The sequence below is a fragment of the Homo sapiens genome, chromosome 11 (assembly GCF_000001405.40).
Source record: "Homo sapiens chromosome 11, GRCh38.p14 Primary Assembly".
In the NCBI taxonomy this organism is placed as follows: domain Eukaryota; kingdom Metazoa; phylum Chordata; class Mammalia; order Primates; family Hominidae; genus Homo; species Homo sapiens.
This window is the reverse complement of record NC_000011.10, coordinates 13,844,694-13,871,113: the sequence shown is the minus strand read 5'-3', so window position 1 is coordinate 13,871,113 and position 26,420 is coordinate 13,844,694. Positions and strand designations below refer to the sequence as shown.

Genomic DNA, 26,420 nt, shown 5'->3' with positions numbered 1-26,420 from the left:
ATAAAATGCTGCCAAAAGTCATTTCAGTGCTGGTGTAGACTGGTGATCTATAAATCAGATAATATCACTCCCCTGATACAACTCTCCAATGGCTTCCCATTGTCCCTGGAATAAACTGCAGCTCCTTACTCTGGCCTTCAAGACCTCACATGGTCTGGTCCCTGACCTCCTGTCTAACTCTGTCCCCAGGCTCTCGTCCCCCATGCCACATAGAAGTACACAGCATTCTTTCTAAACCTGGAAAATCCCGAGCTTGCTCCCACCTCAGGGCTTTGTCATTAGCTTCTCCTTCTGTCTGTGATCTTTTTCTCTCCCATGGCTGGCTCCTTCAATTCATTCAAATGTCACCTCTCCAGAGAGGCCCTTCTTCTCGTGCCTCCGTAAGTCACCCTCTTTCCCTTTACCCCACTTTCTTTCCTTCATAGCATTTATTATGCTCTGACATGCTCTCACTTATGTAAGCCCTGTTTCTTTCCAGCAGAGTGTAAGATCCAAGAGGTCATGGGCCTTTTTCTTTCTTTGTTTGCCATGTTATCTCCAACATCTGGAACAGAGTCTGGCACAAAGTAGGTGTCCCATAAGTATTTACCAACTAAATAACAGACTGCATAAATGAATATTTAAAGTTTGGACCTCCTCTGTAGGCTCTGAATAGAGCCAGGGTGATATGGTTTGGCTGTGTCCCCACCCAAATTTCATCTTGAACGGTAGCTCCCATAATCACCAAATGTTGCAGGAGGGACCTTGTGGGAGGTAATTGAATCATGGGGGCAAGTTTTTCCCTGCTGTTACCATGATAGTGAATAAGTCTCACAAGATCTGATGGTTTTATAAAGGGCAGTTCCTCTGTACATGCTCTCTTGCCTGCCACCATGTAAGATGTCACTTTGTTCCTCATTCACCTTCTGCCATGATTGTGAGGCCTCTCCAGCCATATGGAACTGTGAGTCCATTAAACCCCTTTTTCTTTATAAATTGCCTAGTCCTGGGTATTTCTTCATAGCAGTATGAAAATGGACTAATACACATGGTCAGATTCCTTTGAGCCTTTAAGAATAAACAACTTGATATATTTTGAAATGAGAAGTCACTCGAGGTTCTTCAAACAAGACATTTTTCCTGGATGTAAATTATTCTCAATATTATACAGCATTTCCAGAAGACCAAACTTAGTTTATGAAAGAGAGTATATTAAAAGGTAGTGTCCCAAACAACAAATTTATTTAAATAAAATATTGCAAACAATGGCCCACCTATAAGTAGGTTTCCATATAAGCTATTGCACAAAACAAAAAGACATCTGCTCTTACCCCAGATATTTTTTGGGTGTTTTAATGTTAAGTGAAAATTTTATAGTGCCACATTCTCAGGCCCTACTGAGGCACTACCTCTGAGGTTTAATGAGATGACTCTGTATTTGGCAAAGATCATCACAGTCCATATTCTGACTGTTTTTGTTATAACACTGTATTTCCTAAAATAGAAAATTTAGGGGAGTACAGTAGGGTAAGAGATCCTGGGCAGCTTTTCTTAGAAAACCAAGAATGTAGAAGAGATAGAGCCATGTACCAGACAGGGGACGTTCACATTTTCCAAATTGTGTTCCAAAGAAGGCTAGTGTCCCTTAACTAGAAAAAAAACAACAAATGCTGGGTGGGTGTGGAAGAGGGTGTATTCTGTCAAAATAAATCTGGTCATGTAGGCATTAAATTAACTTAAACAGGCTTTTTTACTGCAGGGCTTCCGTGAATTTGGAGATTTTTCTGAGCTGGGAGGTGACCAAACATATCTACTTCTTTGATCTCAACACTTCCTGAAAAACAGATACTAACGTGGGTCATGATGTCAATGGTAGTTGTATGATTCTTTGATTATAAACTTGGCTTTGATATATTAGAGCATCAGGGCTGAGTAGTGGGGTTGTGGAAGTGGTAAAAGATGAGTCAATACACACAGAGAAGAGAAAGTGAAGAGCAAAAACACAGCTTTGATGATCTGTTACCCTGAGGGCACAGGCTGCAATACTTGAGGTGGAAATGTGGGAAGTGTTGGGATTTTAGGCAGAATTCATGCTAGCTAAGCCAACCCACTTAGATAAGAATTTCCTTACCTAAGCTCTGGAGTTTTTGTGGTTTTTTTTCATTCTATTTGGTTTAAAGTTTGTTACTGCTTATACTGTTGACTAGCATAAATTTAGGTAGAAAAGATCCTCTTAGGTGTGTTGGCTCACTCCTGTAATCCCAGTGCTTTGGAAGGTTGAGGCAGGAGGATCACTTGAGCCCAGGAGTCTGAGGTTGCAGTGAGCTATAATCACACCACTGCACTTCAGCCTGGGTGACAAAGTGAGACCCTGTCTCTTAATAATAATAATAATAATACTTAGAATGATAAAATAAATTTTAAAAAAGATCCTCTCTTTCCTTTTATGCACTTCTAGAACCAAGATTTTCAGAGAGGCAAGGCTAAGCACCAGCCAGGTATTATAAAATATAAGTAACAGCATATATATAAAATATGACTTGTTTATTTTTTTTAACTAAAGGCTATAGTTTATTTAGCTTTGCTTAGTTTTTTCTTCGTATCCTTTCTCTGTTCCAGAATATCATCTAAGTTACCACATTACATGAAATAGTCATGTCTTCTTGGGCTTTTCTTGGCTATACTTTTCTCTGGCATTGTTTTTGATTACCTCAATAGTATTGAGTAATCTTCAAATGTTTTATAGAATATTACTCCATTAGCATGTGCCTGATGTTTTTCTCATAATTAGACTGATTTCATGGGTGTTTGAGAAGAACATCAAGCATGTAAACTGAGTTTTCTTTTCTTTTCTTACCTTAATGCACTAACTAGATACTCCAGCATAGTATTGACTAGGAGAAGTAAGAGAAGACATTATCGCACTATTGCTGATATTAGGAGAAATACATCCAGTTGCTCACCATAGGTATGATGGTAGCTATAGGGTATTTTATCAAGTTGAACAAGGTCCCCCTGGCCCTAGATTTCTGAGAGACTTTTTTTAAATTTTTGTTTGTTTTTTTAATCATAAATGGGTGCTAAATTTTGTCAGTGCTTTTCCTGTATATATTGATATGATCTTATGATTTCTGTTTCAGTTTGTTAATGTGCCAAATTCCATTGATTGATTAACTAATATTGGACCTGCCATGCATACTTTCATACCTGGAATAAAGCTCAATTAGCTGTGCAATATTGTTAAGTAAATTGTTGGGTTCCATTTGCTAATAGTGTGTTGAGAAATTTCGCAACTATGTTCATAAGAGTTACTAGTGTGTAGTTTTTTTCACCTTTATTTATTTATTTCTTATTTATTTTAAAAACTCTCAATAAATTAGGTATCGATGGGATGTATCTCAAAATAATAAGAGCTATTTATGACAAACCCACAGCCAATATCATACTGAATGGGCAAAAACTGGAAGCATTCCCTTTGAAAACTGGTGCAAGACAAGGATGCCCTCTCTCACCACTCCTATTCAACATAGTGTTGGAAGCTCTGGCCAGGGCAATCAGGCAGGAGAAGGAAATAAAGGGTATTCAATTAGGAAAAGAGGAAGTCAAATTGTCCCTGTTTGCAGACGACATGATTGTTTATCTAGAAAACCCCATCGTCTCAGCCCAAAATCTCCTTAAGCTGATAAGCAACTTCAGCAAAGTCTCAGGATACAAAATCAATGTACAAAAATCACAAGCATCCTTATACACCAACAACAGACAAACAGAGAGCCAAATCATGAGTGAACTCCCATTCACAATTGCTTCAAAGAGAATAAAATACCTAGGAATCCAACTTACAAGGGATGTGAAGGACCTCTTCAAGGAGAACTACAAACCACTGCTCAAGGAAATAAAAGAGGACACAAACAAATGGAAGAACATTCCATGCTCATGGGTAGGAAGAATCAATATCGTGAAAATGGCCATACTGCCCAAGGTAATTTACAGATTCAATGCCATCCCCATCAAGCTACCAATGACTTTCTTCACAGAATTGGAAAAAACTACTTTAAAGTTCATATGGAACCAAAAAAGAGCCCGCATCGCCAAGTCAATCCTAAGCCAAAAGAACAAAGCTGGAGGCATCACACTACCTGACTTCAAACTATACTACAAGGCTACAGTAACCAAAACAGCATGGTACTGGTACCACAACAGAGATATAGATCAATGGAACAGAACAGAGCCCTCAGAAATAACGCAGCATATCTACAACTATCTGATCTTTGACAAACCTGACAAAAACAAGCAATGGGGAAAGGATTCCCTATTTAATAAATGGTGCTGGGAAAAGTGGCTAGCCATATGTAGAAAGCTGAAACTGGATCCCTTCCTTACACCTTATACAAAAATTAATTCAAGATGGATTAAAGACTTACATGTTAGACCTAAAACCATAAAAACCCTAGAAGAAAACCTAGGCAATACCATTCAGGACATAGGCATGGGCAAGGACTTCATGTCTAAAACACCAAAAGCAATGGCAACAAAAGGCAAAATTGACAAATGGGATCTAATTAAACTCAAAAGCTTCTTCACAGCAAAAGAAACTACCATCAGAGTGAACAGGCAACCTACAAAATGGGAGAAAATTTTTGCAACCTACTCATCTGACAAAGGGCTAATATCCAGAATCTACAATGAACTCAAACAAATTTACAAGAAAACAACAAACAACCTCATCAAAAAGTGGGCGAAGGATATGAACAGACACTTCTCAAAAGAAGACATTTATGCAGCCAAAAAACACATGAAAAAATGCTCACCATCACTGGCCATCAGAGAAATGCAAATCAAAACCACAGTGAGATACCATCTCACACCAGTTAGAATGGCAATCATTAAAAAGTCAGGAAACAACAGGTGCTGGAGAGGTTGTGGAGAAATAGGAACACTTTTACACTGTTGGTGGGACTGTAAACTAGTTCAACCACTGTGGAAGTCAGTGTGGCGATTCCTCAGGGATCTAGAACTAGAAATACCATTTGACCCAGCCATCCCATTACTGGGTATATACCCACAGGACTATAAATCATGCTGCTATAAAGACACATGCACACATATGTTTATTGCAGCATTATACACAATAGCAAAGACTTGGAACCAACCCAAATGTCCAACAATGATAGACTGGATTAAGAAAATGTGGCACATATACACCATGGAATACTACGCAGCCATAAAAAATGATGAGTTCATGTCCTTTGTAGGGACATGGATGAAATTGGAAATCATCATTCTCAGTAAACTATCACAAGAACAAAAAACCAAACACCGCATATTCTCACTCATAGGTGGGAACTGAACAATGAGAACACATGGACACAGGAAGGGGAACATCACACTCTGGGGACTGTTGTGGGTTGGGGGAGGGGGGAGGGATAGCATTGGGGGATATACCTAATGCTAGATGATGAGTTAGTGGGTGCAGCGCACCAGCATGGCACATGTATACATATGTAACTAACCTGCACGTTGTGCACATGTACCCTAAAACTTAAAATATAATAATAAATGAAAAAAAATAAAAATAAAAATAAAAATAAAATAAAATAATTAAATAAATAACCAATAACATTCCAAAAGGAGTAGCATCCAGGACCAGAGGGTTTCACCCGTGGATTTTTCCAAACATTCAAGGAAGAAATGGTACCAATTATCTTCAATCTTTTCCAGGAAATAGAAGCATTCCATGAGGCCAGCATTAACCTAACATCGACACCAGATAAAGACATTTCAAGAAAGAAAAACCATTCTATCCACTACATCCATATCCATGAAAATAAATAAGAAATAAATAAATAAAGGAGACTTGTATTATTTTTTGTTACACCAAAAGATTTCTTTAAAAACAATGTTTTGAATGGCCCATAGATCTTCTGTCTATTGACTGGAGTATCAGAGGACTTTGAGTATACTGATTTACAAGCCATAGCCTCTGTGGAAGAATGAGGCTCAGGCGACTTGAATGCTATGCTGTCTGGGGAGAACTATCATGCTGCTGGTACTCTGTACAAAACCTTAAATGCTAGTCTCACAGTCTCCCACTAAGCTATGGAAAGAAAATAAGACAATTACATAATGTAAGATAGAATATAAGCTTCATAAGAGAGGATCAATAATATATATGATTGTAAAGAAGAAAGAAATAACAAATGACTGGGGGAAGGGTAAAATCAGAAAAGGTTTCAAGGGCTTTAAAGCAGCGGTGCCCAACCTTTTTGGCACCAGGGTCCAGTTTCATGGAAGATAATTTTTCCATGGACATGGGGGATGGGGGTGGATGGTTTGGGGATGAAACTGTTCCACCTCAGATCATCGGACATTAGACTGTCACAAGGAGCATGCAACCTAGATCCTTCATATGTGCAGTTCACAATAGGGTTCGAGCTACTCTGAGAATCTAATGCTGCTGCTGATCTGTCAGGACACAGAGCTCAGGCGGTAATGCTCACTAGCCCAAGGCTCACCCCCAGCTGTGTGGCCCCATTCCTAATAGGCCATAGACCAGTACCAGTCTGCACCTGGGGACTGGGGAGCCCTGCTTTAAAGGACAGAAACTATGCACCTGAGGCCAAAAAAGGGTGTAGGTTGTTTAAAATAATAGCCTCCAGGAGACTTGGGCAGGGTTGGGATTGGGGGCAGGAGAATCTCGATGAGAAATTACTTAATGGGTATGATGTACATTATTTGAGTGATGGACACACTAAAAGCCAAGACTTCACCACTGCCCAATATATTAATGTGACGAAATTGCACTTGTACCTTTTAAATTTATACCAAAAAAAAAAAGTGTAGGGAAGAAGCACTGGATTCCTGTGTCAGGGCACTGGACGAGATGAACTGACTAAAACAGCTAAGAGTAGATGGGGCCAAGGAATATAGAAAGGTGGTAAATGATGTGGTTCTAATGGTGAGAGTTCCCAGGTGCCCATTCTTCATTTGATTGCAGAGGAAGATAAGCACAGCTGGAGACTTCTTTGGATCTCATGGACTGCAGAATCAGTGAAATCCATGTTTGAACTCTATGTGACTTCAAACAAATTACATAACTTCTTGACCCTCCATTTCCCCAACTACAGAATACGTATAATAATAGCTTTCAGAATCATTGTAAAGAGTAAATAAAATTCGTGGTTAGAAGATGTCACCAAATCCCTGGCACACAGCAGGTGCACTGTAATTCCTTTCTGCTCTGGAATAAAGGGCACAGTAGAGTGGCTTGTAGAAATTAGATTTTTAATACCCTGCTTTGTGTTGAATAAAGAAAAATGCATGTGTTAAGCATCTCTTGGTGGTATCCCACATACACACCCAGGAAAGGGTTTTTCAGAAACTTCTCATACCATGAGGGTGCTTATTTTAAACTGTATACTTTGGCTACACAGTTTTTTTTTAATGATTTTTAAAAATTTAAAAGAAAAATGCTTTTTCATGCAGCTGGTTTATGTCTCTCTATTCAACAGTACCAGTTTAATTTCTAGTAATTGAGTAGGGGGGTGTGGCGAGGGGAATTACAGTTGCCAAATAGGAAATGCAGACAAGGGTTTTATTTAATACAACTCATAAATTACATTGCCAATATCCTAAAGGTAATAAAGAAGTCAAAAAGCACTATTTGTGAAAATCAGTATATCATATGATGGTAAGCATAGTTGCTATTCACCAAAAACATTCAGAAAACATTGGAATTCATTGTCTGAAAAAGCTTAGGCTCAAGACTTGAATTACTAAGAAAAGAAAGTAGTATATAATTATACAAAGATGAGTAATAATCAAAAACTGTTCTTTAACGCATGTTTGTTTTTCCTGAAAGCCATTTCTAAGTTAGTGGTATTGTGTAATGGGAGGTGTCTCAGAATCTAGGAAATGGGATTTTTCCAGTTTGAGTCCAAATCCCCATTCTTTGTCATTCCTACCTCTGTCATGTTCACTGATCCATGCAGATCCACACTGTTTCCATGACACTAGCCACATCCTAGTTTCAGAATCAGTCTACTTCTTTCTCTGCAATTTTCCAAAGTTCAGTCTTCAAAGAATAAAGTAGAGAGGAAGCTAAAGGTGTGTAGCCCAGTGACAGTGCAGCAAGGTTGTGTTAAGAGACTTGATGTGGGCCGGGCATGGTGGCTCATGCCTGTAATGTCAGTGCTTTGGGAGGCTGAAGTGGGAGGATTGCTTGAGGCCTGGAGTTTGAGACCAGCCTGGGCAACATAGTGAGACCTCGTCTTCAAAAAAAAATAAAAAACTTAGTTGGGTGTGGTGGTGCACACCTGTAGTCCCAGCTACTTGAGAGGCTGAGGTGAGAGGATGGCTTGAGCCCAGGAGTTTGAGGTTACAGTGAGCTGATCACGCCACTGCATTCCAGCCTGGGCAACAAAGTGAGACCCTGTCTCAAACTTAAAAAAAAAAAGAAAAGAAAGACTTGGTGTGGTCATGCCCTGTCTGCCTTCCATAGAGTTGCTCCTGTCCCTTCCAACCTCACCGCTTCCTGGAATCCCATCTGCTCTCCTTCAGCCTTGTGCCTGCTTCTCTCCTCTCTTATTTAAATTTTACACAGGTCATGATGCAGACTTGTGTCATGTCAGCACCCCCACCTGTATTTTGTTGACTTCCTCATCATTTTAGAACAGGAATGTTTCAAATAGAAATCCAGATTTTAGGCTTTTTTGAAAAAAATGGGAAGATGTAATCCTGGGCCTGCATTCCTTCATAGGCACAATCTACTGGATTCCAGGACGGTTGGTCTCTTTTAGACAGGGGCACTTGACTTCCAGTTTGACACAGTCCCCACCACTCCCTGTTGTTTTTTTGTTTTTATTTTAAGTTTTAGGGTACATGTGCACAATGTGTAGGTTAGTTACATATGTATACATGTGCCATGCTGGTGTGCTGCACCCATTAACTCGTCATTTAGCATTAGGTATATCTCCTAATGCTGTCCCTCCCCCCTCCCCCAACCCCACAACAGTCCCCATCAAAAAGTGGGCGAAGGATATGAACAGACACTTCTCAAAAGAAGACATTTATGCAGCCAAAAAACACATGAAAAAATGCTCACCATCACTGGCCATCAGAGAAATGCAAATCAAAACCGCAATGAGATACCATCTCACACCAGTTAGAATGGCAATCATTAAAAAGTCAGGAAACAACAGGTGCTGGAGAGGATGTGGAGAAATAGGAACACTTTTACACTGTTAGTGGGACTGTAAACTAGTTCACTCCCTATTGTTTTACATCCAACCCTCCACCCTCATTTCAGTTACCAGCTAAATCTTTGCAGGCATTTCACTGTGTAACCTCGCTCTGTAAGTCTACCAAGGCCAACACCTACCTTCCCCTTCTGACAGCTCCCTGACTTCCATTCTTCCCTTGGATAATTTATTTCTGCCATTGGCCCTGGCATGATTGTCCCTGCCTGCCTCAACCTGGGCCAGCTCCTGGCTTCCAGCCATCCTAGGCCTTGCCCTCAGACTCAGTCTTGCTGGCTCAGTCCTGCTTAGACTTCCTGTCTTGAAGCACCTGCGCTGGAGGGTCACTGGGGAGATCTGCCACATGGAGCCCCAGATTTCCTGTTTGAGCACAAAAAATAAAAGTGAAGAAGACAGGTGTTCAGCTTTCCTCTAATAGATGCACCTTTCATCCCCTCGTCTTTTAAATCTGCATAAGGATGAAAGTTTGCTACACTCTGTTCTCATTGCTTCTCCCAGAGCTCTACACAGGATTTCGTTGGTTCCAAAGGAAACATTGCAGAAAAGGCAGGTTTTCTATATTTCCTTTCTTCATAATTAAAGTGTCCTTTTGCCAATAGCGAATCTATGAGAACTGAATGACTCATCAAAGCAAGGTTGTTTCTGAAGTGGAAGCCCTGGCTCTTTCATTTATTTTACTCTTACCTAATTAGACTTTTTACAGTAAGCCAAAAGGAAGGATAGAAAAAGGAAAGAAGGGAGAGAGGGAGAGAGCAGACGGTCAACCTTCATCTTTAATTCTCTGAGTTCTTCCTCTGTGACCCCCAGAGATCTGAGATAGACAAACCTCAGGTGCAAGGAGGAGATGATAATGGTCTCTCCCCAACTCCCATTCCACTCATCCTCTCCCTCATCCTTAAGGTGCAGTGCCCATGGCCAGGCTTGGGTCTGGGGATGCCTAGTGCATGGGAGGTCCCTTTGGCTCTGGAGAGCTGAGGAAGTCAAGCAAGGCCCAAGGAAGTAGAGAAGGAGCTGGCTTCTTGGATTGAAAGCAGCCCTAGACCTTAATAGGGGTGCAAAGGGCCCTGACCATTTTGGTGATGCATAGTCACACTTAACAGGTGAAAAGCAAGGCGGCAGCAGTGGGTGGACTTGAGGCCAACTCCGAGTTAGGAATAAAGAGAGAGAATTTGGTTTTGTGTCCCCTAATTTGGACTGTCCAGGTATCTAAGAGGATAAAAAGGTGACTGGGGATGGAGGGAGGAAATCTTAACGTTATAAAATTCTGATGATTACCAGTTTCTGGACCTCTGTTGATTGAATAATAGGCTAATCCTCTGGTGACCCATTCAATAGCTAAAAGACAGCCCAGGAGGCTTTATCTGTGATGGCCTTTTAAAAATTGCTTCAATCACAAGTCATTATAAAGCCCGTAATGCTCACTGGATATCCCTGACTGGATAGAATTGGCCTTATTTAAAGAAGCAAAGACAAAGAAACCTTTTCTTTTTTGATTTGTGAGCCCTGGGTTGCTCAAATGCTTCTCTTCAAAGATTATTTTTCCCATTTCATGCCCATCATTTTATTTTCTGATACCTGCTTAGAAATAACCTTGTCTTTCTGGTACTTAGTTATACCACATAAATCCTTTTGCCATTTCTAAGAAACCACAGAACTCTGCTCTGACAGTCTTCCTCGAGAGCCTGAGCCCAACCAGCCCAGCCCAGCAGTGCCACCTAGTCCGCTTAGTGTGACAAAAATTAATGAGTGTTCTGTTGAGGAGTACGATGGAATTTGTAAAATGGGATTTAATTGGGGCTGAATAAACTCCACTTTAAAATTCCTCACACATCAGTCTCTGCTCATGGGTGACAACAGTCTGCATTTTCTATGAGTTGTAACAGAATCCTCGTCCTGCAGCCTGGAGCCCTAGAGAGAGGGCAGCGATGGGGACCCCCACATTGCCTTTCAGAGCCATCAGTCATTCGGCTGCTCGGCTCTGCGCCGCCCTGGGAGAAGCTCCAAGCCAAGAGGCCTGGCCTAACAAAGAAAGCTGAAATTACATGGGAGCCCAGACAGAACTTTTGGGCGAATCAGATTTCATCTAATGGCAGGTTTTTCTGGTTAATGGCTGCATAATGCCCATCGAGTTATGCTGCCTTGATGCAACTTTAGAAAATGGGTACCACCATGTGGTATTGACAGAGGGAGCAAAACTAGACCCCTGATTAGTGAAAGTCTGAGTTTCACTAATAATTTATTGTGTGTATTAGTTTTAGCAGTAAAGCTGTCTCTGACCCATTGCATAGGGACTCTGCAAAAGCCACAGATGCTGTTGCTCTAGGGAGCGAGTGGGGAGGTTCATTCTTTGGGGTAAGACTGAGGAATGGGAGAGGGAGCTTATGACTATCCCTTGGAGCATTATTTGTTTATAGATCCCTGGAGCAGGGGAGGGAAGTGAGGAAGAAAAATCCATTGAGATTACCTGGATGACAAGTTTTTCCTCCACTTATCCAAATGGAGGGCATGCCTAGAATCAGGATGGCAAATAGATTTCATCTCAAGTGCCAATCCAGCCCATTGGTAGTGGCTGCCTGAAAGACTGTGTTGAGAAGAATTTCAGTTCCTTGTGTAAGCTCTGGGGAAGAAAAGTTTCTGCTATTGATTAGTAATTATGTAGCATGATCCAGATTTGAGAGAACATTTACCTTCACCCTGCAGAGGGTGAGTGATATGGTTTGGATCTGTGTCCCTGCCAAATCTCATGATGAATTGTAATCCCCAGTGTTGGAGGTGGGGCCTGGTGGGAGTGATTGGATCACGTGGGCAGATCCCTCGAGGCTTGGTGCTGTCCTTGTGATAGTGAGTTCTCACAAGATCTGGTTAAGTGTGTAGCATCCCCACCCCCTTCCTTGCTTCTGCTCTGGCCATGTTACATGCCTGCTCCCACTTGGCCTTCTATCAGGAGTAAAAGCTCCCTGAGGCCTCCCCAGAAGCGGAGCAGATGCTGGCACCATGCTTCCTGTACAGCCTGCAGAACTGTGAGCTAATTAAACCTCTTTTATTTATAAATGACCCAGTCTCAGGTATTCTTTTATAGCAATGCAAGAATGGCCTAATATAGTGAATTAGGAAATTTGGAGGTGATAGCCAATGAGCTAGTTGCCTTCAGAGGTCGTATGAATAACACGTTACATAAGATTCTTGACAACGTGGTCCCAGTAGCTTCTCTAGCACTGTGTTCCACCTAACCCCTGTTTCCAACTTTACACATCATTCATGATTTCCTGAACACAGTCTTGGGCAGGCAGGAAGTCTGTGGCAGAGACCCTTGGAGCTCTGTTCCTTTTGGGCCCGGACAGAGGCCTGGGCAGCACACCGTAGATGCTGGAGGCCTAGGTGTTTGGCGCTGCAGAGCCCACCAGAAGGAGCAACACAGTGCCGGCGGTGGTAGCCCAGTGGTGGCAACGTGCTGTGAGCCATGTTCAGCCAGGGCTCTGCAAGGCCTCTAGACCAGAAAAAAAACATCAGGAGAGAAGAGCTACTGGGCAAAGATGAGACCCAGCCCTGATTGTCATTTAAGAAATGCCATTTATCAGGAAGGGAAGGGGCCAAATTGAAGTTTCCTTGATAAAGGAAGAAGTCAGGTATTTCCCTGAGCGATGTCCCCTATAGAGAGGTATGGGATCCATAGACTTACAGTATAGAAGGGGAAGGAAGACTTAGTCCTCAATCCCACCATTCATAGTGTTCAGCCAAGAACAAACAAATGTGGGGCGAGGCTCTGCGGCCCACATACTAGCTGTGTGAACCAAGGCACATCATTTAAATGGTATTTCAATTTCCTCCTCTATAAAATGAGATCAGACCAATGCCACAGAGTAATTATTTGTTCACTGGACATTTATTATGTGTGTGCCAAGTGCCAAACACTGTGATCACTGCCGGATAAACAGACATAGTCCATACCCTCCAGGGTCTCACCATCTACCAGGAAGCTAGGCACAGAAACACAAGGTCACAGAGCAAAGAGGAGATGCTTGACAGCTTTTCCTGCTTTGTATGTGTGTTTTCTAATACCTGATTATCTGTGGAGGATGATCAGAAAGGAGACTAATGCAGAGCCTGAAACAGAGCAGGCATTTTGGAAATAGCGGATGAATCTGCATCTGACAGGGTCAACCTGAGGAAGGCACAGAAGTTAGTGAGGTGGAGGCAGAAAGGAAGGGAGACGTTTGCCCATGCTGCCTGAGGGTGGAGGCTTTTGGAGCCCTGCTTGTCTGTAAGCCCCCAGCCACATTGGCATCAGCTGTGAGCCATCTTCCATACCCCCAGCTATCTCCCAAGGACCCCAGCAGCACAGGTCCCTGGGGCCATCTCCCTGGCTCACCCACAAAAAGGGCAGCTCAAGTATTTCCCCACAACCTGCGAATTTGGCAGTCTGTATCTGTTTTTCTCTTCCCTCTCCTCTGACAATGTTTTCCAGGTAGATTCCTGCTAGGTGTAAGCTCAGTTATGAGACCTGATATAATACAATGCTATCATTACTGACCCAAGATGCAAAATAACCAAATGACTTGGAAATAGCAGGGAAAGCATGCAAATTATCAATTCAGAAATTCAGGCAGATAATTCAACCTTTTCACTGGTAGGAAGAACAATACTCAGTGTCTTTAACGCCTACTAATGCATATGAAACAACTTTGCCAATAGGTGGATAATCTAATTGTTCTGAACAATCCAATCCAGTATTTTCCTGCTTCTTCTTCATGCTAATTTATTCTGACATGGCTTTTCAATAATGAAAATCTGTTCTTGCAGAATCCATTTCATCGAGATTTTCCATATTAAAATGGAGATGGAAGTGTCGTGGAGAATTAGATTACTCGTCCTCATTCCCGTGCGTGGCGTTCCTGGGGAGGGGCCTTTGTCTCGAAGTGGGTAACCAGATGGCATTAATTTGAGAGGAGCGAGTGTACCTTGCTTGGCAGACCAGGCGATTGTTTTTATAGTGTTGTTTCCATCTAATCGAAGCCCCTTGCCGGCACAGACTTAATTTGCTCCTTTCCTCATGAAATTTGTTTATTTTCTAAGTGTTTTCAGTCCTAATCATTACCACCAGGGTGAAAAACTGGTGTAAACAAATGCCTCAGTGACTAGAACATGTGTTGTTGTCTCATTCTGGAGAAATACTTTCTGGGCACACAAAATCTTTAGCATCAGAAACAAAAGGACGGACTGATAAATAAATACACATTCAGGATGTGCCTACTGAGTACAGGTCTCGTCCTAGAGGATGGTGATGTTGTAGTGAACAAGGCACAAATACCTTCTACTAGGAGCCCAGGTCTACTGTGGGGGTTCTGGCACCTTAGTGTGCCTAAGAGCCACCTGGGGAATGCATTAGAAGTGTGGATTTCTGGGGTCCACTCTTACAGAGTCTGAATCAGTTGACATTCAAAAGATAGCTTATCTCATGTAATAGGGTCCAGCTGGCATCAACCTCCTTTCCTGGGAATATCTTATTCCCAGCACTCTTGGGAATATTTTAAATATGGGATGGACCTGCTTTTAGAAATAGTGAATGAATCTGAATCTGACAAGGGCAACCTGAGCAAGGCAGGGAAGTTAGTGGGGAGTGGGAGAAAGGAAAGGGAGATGTTTGCCCACGCTACCTCAGGGTAGAGGCTTTTGGAGCCCTGCTTGTGTGTGAGCCCCCAGAGACCCTGAAGTTAAATAAACAGTGTCTAATTCACGTCAAATGATATTAGTTTGGTTATTGCTATAGAGAGTAGGCATCTCAATGGGCCCAGAGTTATTGATCTTACTCATTTTATCTAGTGTAACATTAGATTTCACTGAATCTACAACACCATAGACTCTTGTACAGTGTTATACGAATTCACCTCTTCTAGGATGTTTTGAAATAATAAAATAACAACAACAACGATGACAATAAGACATGTTTACTCGTGACTTAATGACATGCCAGTAAGCACTTTGCATGTTCTGTCTCATTTAATTCTCACAACCACTCTATGTGGCACACATCTCTTATCCCTCATCTGATAGATGAGATGCTGCATCAATGGATGGGGCTTCCCTAGCTGCATGTTGGGGAGAGGGGATTAACTTGGCCATCTAGGCATTCTGGGGAACTCCTACCTACAGTGACCAACCATCTCGTTTGTACAGGACTGAGGTGGTCTCCTGAGACTCAGGACTTTCAGTTTTAAAACTGGGGAAATCAGGATGAGTTGGTCACCCTCTGGCCACATGAGATTTGCTGAGGACATCAAGATTCTAAGAAAGAACAGATTCAAATGCTGAGTGGAAAGATGAGTCCTACAAGCCAAAGAAGGCGTCCAAATTGTTCATCTAAACTAAATCAAGCAGCAGCCAGAAGCCACAGCACAGAGGCAGGATGCTCAGGTCAGGAGAGTGAATGTGAGAACACAGGGTTGAAATACTTCAGTGTGGTCTGGCACAATTACTTAGGACAAGTGGACTTTACTTGTGAGCTGCAGTTTGATACATGGTGGATCAGCTGTAAGACAGCAGTGTGTTTAAAGAGTCAGGTAAGTTAGGGGGGCAGATATGGGGCAGACATCTCTGTTTTGCTCCTGTCCATTTCCCATAGATGGGTAGTCCTGATGTTTCTCCAGAAATGCCTGTGGCACCTTACCACATTGTGTTCCAGGGCAGTCTGGTGTTCTCTCCAGTCCCACCACTTAACCCCACCTCTCCAGGTCTCTCAGGAAAAGCAGTGGCAGGAGTGGTCACTTACTTTATGTCACCAGGGCGTACAGGGCAACAGCTGCATGCTCTTTTCTCCAATGGAGTGGGGAGAATTGTTGTCTTAGTTCCTTTGGGCTGCTATAACAAAATGCCATAGATTGGGTGTCTTATAAACAACAGAAGTTTATTTCTCACAGTATTGGATGCTGGGAAGTCCAAGATCAAAGTGCTGGCAGATTTGGTGTCTGGTGAGGGCTGTTTTTTGGTTCACAGATGACTGTCGTTTCACTGTAACATCACATGGTGGAAGAGAGAGGAAATCTCTTTGGGGCCTCCTTTAAAAGGGCACTAATCTCATTCATGAGGGCTCTTCCCTCATCATCTAATTGCCTCCCAAAGATCGCACCCCCAGATACCCTTACATTTGGAATTGGGATTTCAACATGTGACTTTGGGGACGATACAGTCTATAGTAGTTGTCATAGAGCCCCATGGTTTGCACCAGTGCTCTGCAATCTCCAGTGGCAGGGGTAGGAGAGCTTCCCCCATCACATTCTGCCCAGGGTGGCAGGAGGCCTTCATGGGTTCCAAACAAGATGACTGAAGTCTTTACCCCTGGCCAGAGGATTTCCTCTAGAAGCAGGCTTAAACTGCTGGGAATCCAGAAACCAAGAAGCAAACAAAGCTTAGAATAGACTGTTGAGGCCAAAAAGCTAAGGAAGAGAGTCCCTGATGTTTGCATAACCAAAAGGACCAGAAGTAGCAAAGAGCAAAGTATAATTATGTACTCTGAGGGTCAAAGGGTCAAAATCTGAAGTTTGAGAGCCAAAGCAGCTAGGAGGGGTCTGGGGAACATTACTGTCTGCAGCTGGCTTGTGTGGCCAAGTACCATGGGAATGGGGTAAGAGGACAGTGTGTTTAAAGAATCAGGTAAATGTTGTAGAAGAGAAAAGATTCCCTAACAGGGAGGAGAGTGAGTTTTGCTTCTCTGCTTGCTGCCCATGTTTCTCTCCTGCCTTCCTTCTACCTCTTGTTCTGCCATCAGCTGGAATCATCCTTTACACTTCCAGCCTCCAGGGCATGCTTTCCTCCTCAGCCAATCTGCAGATACCTTTGCGTCTGCTCATTCTATATGTATGGACTGCCTACTGTTTCAGTTATCCATTGCTCTGGAACAAACTACCCCAAAATTAGTGGTTTGAGGCGACCAACATTGTATTGGCTCATGATTCAGTGAGTCAGCTGGACAATTCTTCTGGTCTGTTAAGGGTTTTGGGGGACCGTGGGGGATGGAATCTCTGTGGTCAGCTGATGGCATGGCTGAGACCGTGTGGTCTAGCATGGGCTCATTCACACGTCCAGCAGTTGGCAGCGTGACTGTTCTAGAGGACCTTCACTGGGACGCCTCATCTGTGCTCCACTGGGTCTCTCATCCTCCAGTAGGCCAACCTGGGATTCCTCACATGGTCATGGGAGGGTTTCCAGCTGCACATGAGGGTAAGCTTCAGTGCTCAGGGCTTTCAAAGCCTTACTTGCATCATGTTTGCTAATGTTGCTTTGGCCAAATCAAGTCATGTGGCCAAGCTCAGATTCAAGGGGAGAAGAAACAGATTTGACCCTTTGATGGGAGGAACTACAAAGGATTTGTACCCATTTCCTGCAATTACCACACCTACTGGATGCCAGGCATTGTTCTAGGCACTGAAGATATTACCATGTAGAAACAGACACACATACATCCTTGCTATTTTTTTTTTCTTTTTCAGAGACAGGGTCTTTCTCTGTCACTCAGGCTGGAGTGCAGTGGTCCAATCATAGCTCACTGCAGCCTCAACCTCCTGGGCTCAAGCAATCCTCACACCTCAGTTTCCCAAATAGCTGGTATTGTAGGTGCATGCCACCACACCCAGCTAATTAAAAAAAAATTTTTTAGAGACGAAGTCTTTCCATGTTCCCCAGGCTGGTCTCAAACTCCTGACCTCAAGCAATCCTCCCACTCAACCTCCCGAGTAACTGGGATTGAGGACCTAGCCACCATGCCAAGCTAATTTAAATTTTGTTTTGTTCTGTTTGTAGAGACAGGGTCTTTCTATGTTGACCAGGCTGATCTCAAACTCTTGACCTCAAGTAATACTCCAGCCACACCCTCTCAAAGTGTTGAGATAACAGGCATGAGCCACTGCACCCAGACCCCTGCTTTTTCTATTCATCATAGTTACAGCAACATATGAAAACTATGTAGATATTCTGTTATTATTGTATAGTAGCTGTAAATATAGGGAAAAGCAATATAGAGTGAGCTTTCTGTTTATTCTGTGTTGTAAGGATATCCTTTTTTGGATATTTTTCTTTAAATCTTTGTGTAAACCACTTCGTTGAAATATAATTCGCATACCACACAATTTACCCACTTAAAGTGTAAAAGCCAGTGCTTTTTAGTGTGTCCATAGAGTCGTGCAGTCATTACCACAATCTAATTTTAGAACATTTTCTTCCCCTCTACTAGAAACCCTGTACCCATTAGCAGTCGTTCCCTATTTTCCTCCTCCCCCGACCCTCTAAGTCTTGATTGGAGATTAAGGGAGGAAAAGATCTGTTAAAAAAATCACTGGAGAACAAAGGCAAACAGGGCTAGAATTAAAAACTAAGTAGGAAGATGTACAAAGGGAAACTTTGTCCCAGATCTGTTCTGATTGCTCCCCCATCCCTCACAGTGAACTTGACCACTTTAGATTGGAGGAGGAACAGCAGGTTGTATTCATTCATCTATTTAGTAAGTGATCACCAAGGAGGCCAGGCCCTGGGGATACAGATGAAGGTGCAGACTTTAATCTGAAGGAGCTCAGAGACAGGAGATTGGAGGGTGGGAGAAGGGGCCACAGTGTAGCAAATGTCAGGAGGACAGTGTGAGCCTAGAGAGAACGGTGGCCACTTGGCCACCAAGTAGAGGCACCCTATGTTATGATAAAGCCAGCACAGCAGAGAGCAAAGCCCAGAGAGAGAATGACACCAGGCTGATGCATTGTTGGAGCGTGATATCTAAACACTCAACAAATGTGTCTAGGATTTTCTAGGTACATGATTCAATTCTCCCTTTTTCCTCTATTTTAAGTTGGGTATTTGTTGCTTGCAATAAAAATCAATCATGTTCAAACTAATACACGTTCTCAGCCCCCTTCTGCCTCCTTTGCCAAGTATTACCAGTGAATATTACAGTTTGGGGGACCTCTCCCTCTTACTATCTGCAGAAGCCAGCTCACGCTCTGCTTCCTCAAATGCCAACTGTTAATAAACTCCCTTGGCTATTAGAGAATTAGAAGAGATAAAGATGGAAAAGCAGGTGGGAAGTCAGATAGCAAATGCAGGGAAAAGTGCACGAGCTTCGGAATTAGACAAATCTGGACCAATTACTGTTCTGTATGCATAAAATGGAAATAACATTACCTACCTCACAGGCTTGGGTGGGGATTACATGAGATAATATATTAGAAAGTGCTTATCACAGGGCTTAAAAAATGGTTTAGTGCTTAATTTAAATGAGTCTCTTTCCCTTCCCCTTGATTCAGATTAATGGGGAAGAGGACTAAATTTGGGGGGACTCAAGTTAAACAGTTTTATTCTGTTTATTCATTTCGATCATTTGTCCAGCTCATTATTGCCACAAATATGAACAAAGTGTGGCTCTTATCTTTGAGGGGCTCAAAATCATTACCCTAGAAGTTTTCTGCAAGAATTGGAGGTTGAGAGGATAGGAGTGAGTTGTAATCCCAGGGGCAGTGAAAGAGCTTCAGGCCAGTCCCTGAGGGATGTAGATGTGATGGAAAATCGCTTGGAGATGACTCAGAGCACTGCCCACCAATGTCAAGAGCCCTGCTAAAGCTTCACTATGACAGTTATGGCACCATTTGGCCTGGTTGTGTGAATTTTTTCTCCAGCAAGGCTTAAATGCCGATGGGCAGTGTCTAGAAAACTGATTGGCAAGGTGGGCACAGTGAACACACAAGGGGCTGAGGACACAGGAGATTTGAGGGAGACCATAGAGGAGGATAAGCCCAGCCGTGGGTGTCGGGCTGTGGATGGAGATAAGAATGTTGTTCATGGTACTACACTTTCTTCAGTCTTCAGGGTGTCACAAGGTGGGGACTGCTGGAGCAGTAGGTGTCCCGACATCCTAGCCCCTCTGTGATGGGCCAGGAAAACAGTTTCAGTTTTGGTTGTTTACAAAAAGCACATCTTGATTTCAGAAAAAGCTCAAGATTTTTCCCGGCCATGAAAGATGTGAGTACCAACTGAAGCTGCTGCTTAAACAGCCATGACAGCTGGGAGGAAGACAGCTGGGAGGAGGAACTGCTCTCTGGTTTTTTCCTGTAAGCACCCACCAGTGCCACGGGTCCAAGCAGAGAGCAGGAAAGAGCTCACAAGGCCACAGTTCATGACATCAGTTGTCAGCCAAGGAGACTGCAATTTGACTTTCTGCAAAGAGTAGAGAGAGTGGGTTTTTGCTTAAAAGACATTGATTCTGACTTTGATAATTATTTGGAGGTTAGGAAGGGGGACCTACTGCCAGATGTCTAGGGAACAACTATGCCATGCAGGCAGGAATGAATTGCTTCAGAACACATTGAGGTGGGAGCATTCCATACCCTCGTGAGGGCTGTGTGGGGGCACATGACATGAGTCACTCATGGCAGCTTCCCACTCACAACTAAAGCAATCACACACAGAGAGTGAACAGCACGCTGTGACTTCTGGGTGAATTGTGAGCAGAGTGAAGGAGCTGTTAAGAACTGGAGATGGGCAGAATGCTCCATTCTCCTCTCTGCAGACACTTGAAGGGCTCTTGTTGCTTGAGGCATGCATTTTCTTACTTCCTTTTATTGCTTTGTGAGGGATGTCATGGAGGAATCCAAGAAGTGTTTGGAGTTTGACTGAGCGGGATTCACCCCAGCTCATACTTACTAGCTGTGTCAGCTCGCCAGAGTTTCATAGGCTCTCTGAGCTGTATTTTTCTCCACAGCAATGTAGGAATAATAATAATAATAATAAACTTCTCAGAATGCGGGGAGAATTCAGCATGGTCCACAGCAGGCTCATAAGAAACATCGATTCCCTCTTTCTGTTTTGGGCTTCCTGAGCACCTACTTCTTTAAGGGAAAAGCAACAATACCTCCTGTATCCCAGGCAAAGACAAGAACAGTCTTAAACAACACAGTAAACAGAAGGAGGGGATTGATTTGCTCCCCTTCTCACACAAAGCTGAGCACACGACAGGTTATGGTTTTGAATATTAATGCATTTGAAGTGCAGAAGAACCACTTATAACAAAACTGTCTTGCTTGCAAGGATTTATTCCCCATGTAGTTTTTCATGACTCGTAAAAGATGATGGATGAACATAATTTTTAGTTTAATTTCTTGCTGTGCAGTTCAGTAATTTTTGAGATAAACTCAAATTACTAAGGATCTGGAACTGTTCAAAGCAATGAGGAGTCATGCACATCTGGTTGTACACAGGACACGCATGTTTAATTTTTCAAGCCAGCCAAAGAAGGGGTGAGTGGAAATCCCAGCACACATGTAAACCATGTTATCCTCAGAATTCACTTCTGCTACCCACAAATACAAACCAAACCTTCCTGTAGGAGAAATTATGTTTGCTTTTCTGGGGAGGAAAGGGGGCAGGGACGTGGATGGCTGGAGGGGCATACAGGTTCTTTTTTTCTTAAATATTTTTGTATCTTTTTTATCAAAGTAGACATTTGATTGTTTCCTAAAAAAGAAAAGTAGCACTTGAGATCATTTTTTTAAATCTGGGTTTTAAAATTTATCTTCTTTTGATTTTTTTCTATAGGTTTTAAGGCAATTTTCTATAGGTTCTTAAGGCAATTGAAAGCCTAAGTCCTTTAAGAAATTAGCAATGTGGTATAGTGGGAAACACTGGAGTTTTAGAATTAGAGCCAAGACTGCCTAAGACCAGTGATCGTGATGCAAACTGGAGCTAGAAGTGGGAGTCAGATCATTAGAGACTGTTGAAGGGTCAATGGGCAGAGCTTTACAGACCAGTTTTCTCTGCAAATAGTAATAAATAAATAATGAAATAAAAAACCTGGGCATGGTGGCACATGCCTGTAATCCCAGCTACTCAGGAGGCTTAGGCAGGAGAATCGCTTGAACCTGGGAGGCAGAGGTTACAGTGAGCCAAGATTGCGCCACTGCACTCCAGCCTGGGTGACAGAACCAGACTCTGTCTCAAAAAAAAAAAAAGAAATAAATAAATAAAAACAAAAGTGTAGTTAAGTACTAGCCAAGGGCAATTACCATTATGACAATGCTTGATAATTTTAGTAAAGATTTATGTTTTTTTGAAACATTCTTCTGCTAAGTTTTGTTGTGAACCTAAACTGCTCTTAAAAAAAAATATCTATATCAAAAAAAAAAACAAGAAATCTTCTTCTATGTTGTATCTTCCCTTAAATGTGTTTCTATTTATTAAACAGTGTTAGGTTAAATAGAATATGCTACTATCCTAATGAAGATCTTTTCATTCTTATAATCTTCCTGAAAACAAAGGGAAAAAGATAAATGTTCAAACAACCACATGCTTTGCTCTCTATCACTGACAATAACCTGAACAGAATTCTTCTATATCAGCAATTTAACCGCAGTGACATTGTACACACCCAGAATTACAATTTTAGTCTGGATGACGATATGGTATTTGCAGCATGCCAAGCACAGCCAAGGTGTTGAAAATAGAGAGAAAAAAAATCTATACTGTCATAACTGGTTCTGTAGCTAACAGTTTTCAGAGGTCAGATAATTATGCCTGCAAAGAAAATTTAAAGGATATAGAAGATAAAGATGGAAGAGAAACTACTGTTGCAGTTTAAAGTATCTGTGTATCCCAAGTATAGGATCACTTTTGCTGTTGGATGCCCTCCAAAGCTTCTATTAATAGGGGAAAAATGCCTATAGCCTGTAAACTCACCAAAGGGTAGCATAAACAAGAGGATATGATATGAAATAAAATGAGCTACAGTCTTACCAATCTCCATGTACTTATCACTTGTATACTACTGGTTTAGGAAAAGGATTTGAAGTGGCTTTTAATGAAAGATTCAAAGACATTAATTGCCCTAAAATAAAGTCACAGAGCCAAAAGTCATGTCATGAAGGGACAGGTATTTGGCCCTTCGTAGGCACTTTAATCTCTCAGGTCTGCACTCACATTGAGCCGCAGTGCCACCTCAAAACAGGTCTCCAACACCTTCACAGTGTTCAGGGTCTTTGCCCTGAACCCCAGCGCTTGACCTGCTTCTGATTCTCCAGGCTTCTGAACTCGCTGTTTTCCTTCGTGTTCATATTATACTCATCGCACCTCGGGCCCTTCTGTTCGGCACCACTGCGTTGATTTTGACCTTCAGTTTCTCTCTCAGACTATCCCTCTGGTTTATCAAGCTGGAGGAAATTGATCCAAGATCAAGGAGAGAGTTTTAATACAAATTGCTACTGACATGGAATACCAATTTAAACACTTATTGACTCTAACAAACTATGTTCAGCCATGCCAAGGCTGAGCACTTGTTTAAACTGTTCCCTATTTTCTGCATGCTCGGGCAGCTCCACCTCACTCAGAATCAGTGACCCCACTACCATTGGCTTTAGCTTCATAAAGCGCTCTTTCCTTGGCAATATCTAGTTTTTGCCTATCTTGTGGTCTTACTGGGTTTTGGTCTCTACAGGGTGCAGGTCTATCCCTGTCTTCACAGTCCCCACTGGCTCTAGATTCATGGTGTTCTTTTTTCCCCCCAGAGCCCACAATAAGAACACATTCTGGATCACAACCCAGGACACACACACACACACACACACACACAGAGAAAAAAAAAGTGTCATTAAAAAAAAAAAATTACTTTGGGAGGCCAAGGTGGGAGGATCACTTGAGCCCAGGACTTCGAGACCAGCCTGGGCAGCATAGGGAGATCCCGTCTCTACAATAAAAGTTTTTTCAAAATTAGCTGGGCATGGCAGTGTGTGCCTGCAGTCCGAGGTCTTTGGGAGGCTGAGGTGGGAGAATCACTTGAGCCTGGGAGGTCGAGGCTAGAGTGAGCTGTGTTTGTGCCACTGTACTCCAGCCTGGACAACAGAGTAAGACCCCATCTCTAAAAACCAAAACAAAAGAAACAAACGAAAAAACCAAACCTACATTTATGACATGGAATGCATTCAAGGTGTTTTCTATTCCATTTTATTTTTGTAAACTGTGGTCAAAATGCTATAATTCAATTTCACAATCCACTAAAAATGTGTGGCCCACAGTTTCAAAAACTGATGTGTGATAAACAGTTCTGATCTTATCTTGAGGGGAACCAGGCTCTTATCTACATCATTTTCTACATTGAGACTGTCCAACTATTGTTGAATGATTCTGAAGGTGTTGCTGGATTTTGCTAGTTATATGACTAGTTATATGGTTTTAGGGTCATCCTCAGTAAAACAGGCAAAAACAAACACACATTCCCCTATACACACATTCCCTCCCTCCCTCCCTCTATACTTTTGCTCTCATAGCATTTTTTTTTTTTTTTTTTTTTTTTTGAGACGGAGTTTCGCTCTGTCGCCCAGGCTGGAGTGCAGTGGCGCGATCTCGACTCACTGCAAGCTCCGCCTCCCGGGTTCACGCCATTCTCCTGCCTCAGCCTCCCGTGTAGCTGGGACTACAGGCGCGCGCCACCATGCCCGGCTAATTTTTGTATTTTTAGTAGAGACGGGGTTTCACCGTGTTAGCCAGGATGGTCTCGATCTCCTGACCTCGTGATCTGCCCGTCTCGGCCTCCCAAAGTGCTGGGATTACAGGCGTGAGCCACCGCGCCCGGCCCTCATAGCATTTTTGATGGGTCTTTTCCAGCTACAAAATATCCCAAATTGTCTTGGCCACAGTAAGAGAAGCTTTGGTGCTTTCAGCCACCCGGGCCGTCTAAGTTGTCCAGATCTTCCAACACAGACCCCATGCCTAATGCATCCCTGCTTTACAAGCTGATCCCCAGAGGAAGAACTGTACCAAACCATCCAGGTAAAGGATCAATTTTTCACTTGAACACAGCTCGGAAGGCCCTGGCAGTCAAGACAAAGAGGAGAGCAAGGAACAAGGGTTTCTAGGGATGCTGACATAATTCTCATAAATAAAAGGAAATGTAGTTTATCAGGAGAAATGAATATTTTTCCTAGTAGTAGACATAGAAGAATTCATTGTGTGATACTCTTATATCTTTAGTACACATTAAGATGCATAAAAGCTGCTGGAATCTTAGTCTATATAATAAAGAATTCTGCTGTGACTGTCCTGGTTTTGCCATTATTTATGCAGTTAATCTTTCTAAGTTTATTTTAAAAGTGTTCTAGAATTATCCCTAGATTCTCCCCAAGAGCATTTATGTAACTAATTGGCAGAACTGGGTTCTCATAGCCCCTAAATAAACTTGAAAGAAATTCGATGCTTGCTACTTACACTTCCTCACTACACTTCCACTCTTTAACCTCCTGAGCTACGACCTGGCTACTCTTCATTCCTTGGGATCTGACGTCAGTGTCTCTCAGTTGGATCTCTTTTCTAAATGACTGTATCAGTCAGGCTGGGCTAAGTTATGCTATAGTAACAAGTAACTCTAAAATCTTAGTGGCTTAAAACAGCAAGGTTTATATCTCATGGACTCTGCATGTGTCCATCTGGCATTGGCTGGGAGCTAAGGGAGTGCTGTCCTGTGTCATCATCACTCGGGGACTCTGGCTGATAGAGCCTCCATATCTAGAATGCCACCAGTCTCTGTGATGAGGACAAAGAGACATAGAAAATTGAGTACCAGCTCTTAAAGTCTTCTACCTCACAGAGACACATGTCACTTCTGCACTGTTTCATTCACTAAGACAAATCACATGGTCAGGCCTAACATCAAAGCAATGGAAGAAGTACTGTTTTACCATGTGCCCAGGAGAGGGATGCAGAAATTTTGTGAACAGGCTTCTTTTCCTGCTCCTTTGCCTCTCTGCAGCAGTTAACTAGGTTGACTACCTCTTTTCCTTTAAACGCTCTCCTCCTTTGGTGCTGACCACTTCTTCACTGACTCCTATTATCCTTCTTATTTCCCTCAAAATGTATAGGTCCTCCATCTTCCAACCCCAAAATTCATCCAGAATGTACCAGGATGGGGCCTAGAAGTCAACTTCAAACTTTGATCTTCAATCCTACAAAGAATGATCATCTCAGAAAACTTAGGGCAAAAGTAAATATGCATGGATTTACAAAAATCTCACTCTTTCACCCAAGTTCTTTTTTAGTAGGCATTACAAAAAACTGGCCAGAAATCCCACCCTGGGAAATCTAATAGAAATAAAAGCTCTTATACGTAAGGATATATGTATGGTATCATTGTTTATAAAACCAAAAACCTGGGAAAAACCTCAATGTCCAGCA

General features: G+C 42.4%; 2 long non-coding RNA genes across 2 annotated transcripts in view; one reads left to right on the top strand and one right to left on the bottom strand.

Moving 5' to 3' along the window:
* The first annotated feature begins 497 nt into the window (after nucleotides 1-497).
* Nucleotides 498-26,252, top strand: LINC02545 (long intergenic non-protein coding RNA 2545). Its single transcript, NR_149109.1, has 4 exons — nucleotides 498-566; nucleotides 1,724-1,775; nucleotides 2,438-2,477; nucleotides 26,108-26,252. It is a non-coding gene; the product is annotated as a long intergenic non-protein coding RNA 2545 (long non-coding RNA).
* Nucleotides 23,112-26,420, bottom strand: part of LINC02548 (long intergenic non-protein coding RNA 2548) — a 63,617-nt gene continuing 60,308 nt past the window's right edge. Inside the window, exon 4 of the long non-coding RNA NR_149108.1 lies at nucleotides 23,112-23,407. This is a non-coding gene — a long non-coding RNA (long intergenic non-protein coding RNA 2548). The remainder of the gene's footprint in view (nucleotides 23,408-26,420) is intronic.